The sequence below is a fragment of the Homo sapiens genome, chromosome 11 (genome assembly GCF_000001405.40).
Source record: "Homo sapiens chromosome 11, GRCh38.p14 Primary Assembly".
NCBI classification, from domain to species: domain Eukaryota; kingdom Metazoa; phylum Chordata; class Mammalia; order Primates; family Hominidae; genus Homo; species Homo sapiens.
The window spans coordinates 133,729,289-133,731,545 of NC_000011.10; the positions used below are offsets into that span (position 1 = coordinate 133,729,289).

At 48.1% G+C, this 2,257-nt stretch overlaps 1 annotated feature.

The window, feature by feature from the left end:
• Positions 1,758 to 2,257: an enhancer, noted in NCBI's record as "H3K4me1 hESC enhancer chr11:133600941-133601440 (GRCh37/hg19 assembly coordinates)". NCBI's record gives its function as "activates a minimal SCP1, AML or CMV promoter by ChIP-STARR-seq in naive H9 embryonic stem cells {active_cell/tissue: H9 hESC(naive)}" and the evidence as "EXISTENCE:reporter gene assay evidence [ECO:0000049][PMID:30033119]".

Consider the following 2,257-nt stretch of genomic DNA (forward strand, 5'->3'; position numbering starts at 1 on the left):
GCTGGTAGATTTGGCATCTGGTGAGGGACCATTTCATGGTTCTTAGATAATGCATGCTTGCTGTTCCTCACATGGCAGAAGGGACAAGGGGTCTCTCTTGGGCCTCATTTTTTTTTTTTTTTTTTTTTGAGATGGAGTTTAGCTCATTACCCAGGCTGGAGTGCAATGGCAGACCTTGGCTCACTGCAACCTCCGCCTCACAGGTTCAAACGATTCTCCTGCCTCAGCCTCCCGAGTAGCTGGGATTACAGGCACCCACCACCATGCCCGGCTAATTTTTGTATTTTTAGTAGAGGCAGGATTTCGCCATGTTGGACAGGCTGCTCTCGAACTCCTGACCTCAGGTGATCCACCTGCCTTGGCCTTCCAAAGTGCTGGGATTACAGGTGTGAGCCATTGCACCCGGCCTTGGGCCTCTTTTAGAAAGGCACTAATGCCATTTATTCAGCTCCACCCTCATGCCCTAATTACCTCCCAAAGACCCCACCTCCTAAACCACATTGGCAGTGAGGATTTCAACATATGAATTCTGGGGTAGATAAATACATTCAGACCATAGCATGCATAATCTAATTCTATGGGTCAAGGGAAATTTTATCAAAGGCTATTAGACACTGTTCACAGCCATGTCTAGAAGCAGAGGTCTTTGATTATATTGAAGCTGGAAGGGGCATTTTAGATTTAACATGTTCGTGTTACAGATCTAGAAATTGAAGCCCAGTAAGACTTAAGAGTATCTGAGTGTTTCCATAATGCTCATGACCCATGTGTAACCTTCCAGCTGTAGGAATAAAGGAGACTGAACCTTTGTAAGACAGTTTGAGATCTTCATTCAGAAACACACATGAACACACACATAATCCACAGCTTTCTCTCTTCTTTTAACTTAAGCAAGCTTTCCCAGAAGTCAGCATAATCATCTGCCTTGGACATACTCTCAATCTAATTAAGATGATTGGCTTAGGAAAAAATATTACAGGACAAAAATCCACTGACCTATCTGTTAAAGGGGATAGCATGGGCTCTAAGGGACACGCATAACACAAGGTGTGCAGGCCCAGTGAGGGTGATCCGGAAGGCAGATGGTGGGGAAACCACACACTGCTGACCAGGATGTGGCCAGACATCCTGACCACCATCAACAACACGGCAAGCTCTCCCTGGCTGCCGAGGGGGCTTTGAACTGATCTCTCCGCTCCTACTCTGACCCTGCACCCCCCTCCCCTTCTAATCCATTCTCGATAAAGAAGCCAGAGAACTTCCTAAAACGTAAATGAGATCACATCATTCTCCCACTTAAAACTCTCCATGGCTTCCCATTGCACTTGAAGTAACTCCTTACTACAGCCTCCAGGGCTGTTCATGACCTGGCCCCAGAAACCCTGCCAAGCACAACACCAACCTTGCTTCTCCACACTCACCTTGGTCCACTCTGTCCCTTAAGCACCCAGGGAGGCCCATGCAAGAGGCTTTGCCATTTCTTCTGCCTACAGCACTGATTTCCAAGAACATTTCTCTGACCACCTCCTGTTCCTGTTCCCTCCGCCACAGCACCCTGGCTCATTTTCCTTTACATCACACTGACTGTCTAAATCATCTCCTTCACTTACTTGAATGTTTATTGTCCTTTTCTTGTAAAGTGCTTCTGGTGGCCAATGGATCAGCAGGGAAGGAACCTACACGCACAGGAGAGTTCGGGAGAGCTCCAAGTGCAGTCTTCTCACAGGAGGAAGGGCCACACAGAGGGCAGCCGATGCCCGGCCCGCAGCGTTCAGGGATGAACGCCACACAAGGTCGCGCCAGCACGGGGAAGTCCAATGCTTGCTGCTCTCCCACTCTGTCATACTCAGAGCTTCTCTCACCCTTCAGGAGGGATTTGTGTAAACAATGCATTGCACTTCAAGGAACTGTTTACAAAATCAAGCTCTCCCAGTCCCTAAGGTTTGGCCCATTTTTGGCAGGACCACTTCCCCGTTGGGGTACAGAGAGTAAACTCAGTGCCCACGAGTTTCTAGGCAACAGCTCTATCTCCATCACCCCCAGCCTCTGGAAAGGCATTCCTCACCTCCTCCACCTGAAGGGTGAGGTCCAGGAGGGACATGGACCCTGTCTAGCTTGTCATTCTTGTTATCTCCAGAAGAATATCCCTAAACCTGGGTCATGCACTAAATAGGTGTGCAGCCAGTCCTCACTAGGTGAGCTGAAAATAGGTATGGATATTCACAAATGATGTCCACTAAATCAGACAATTAATTCT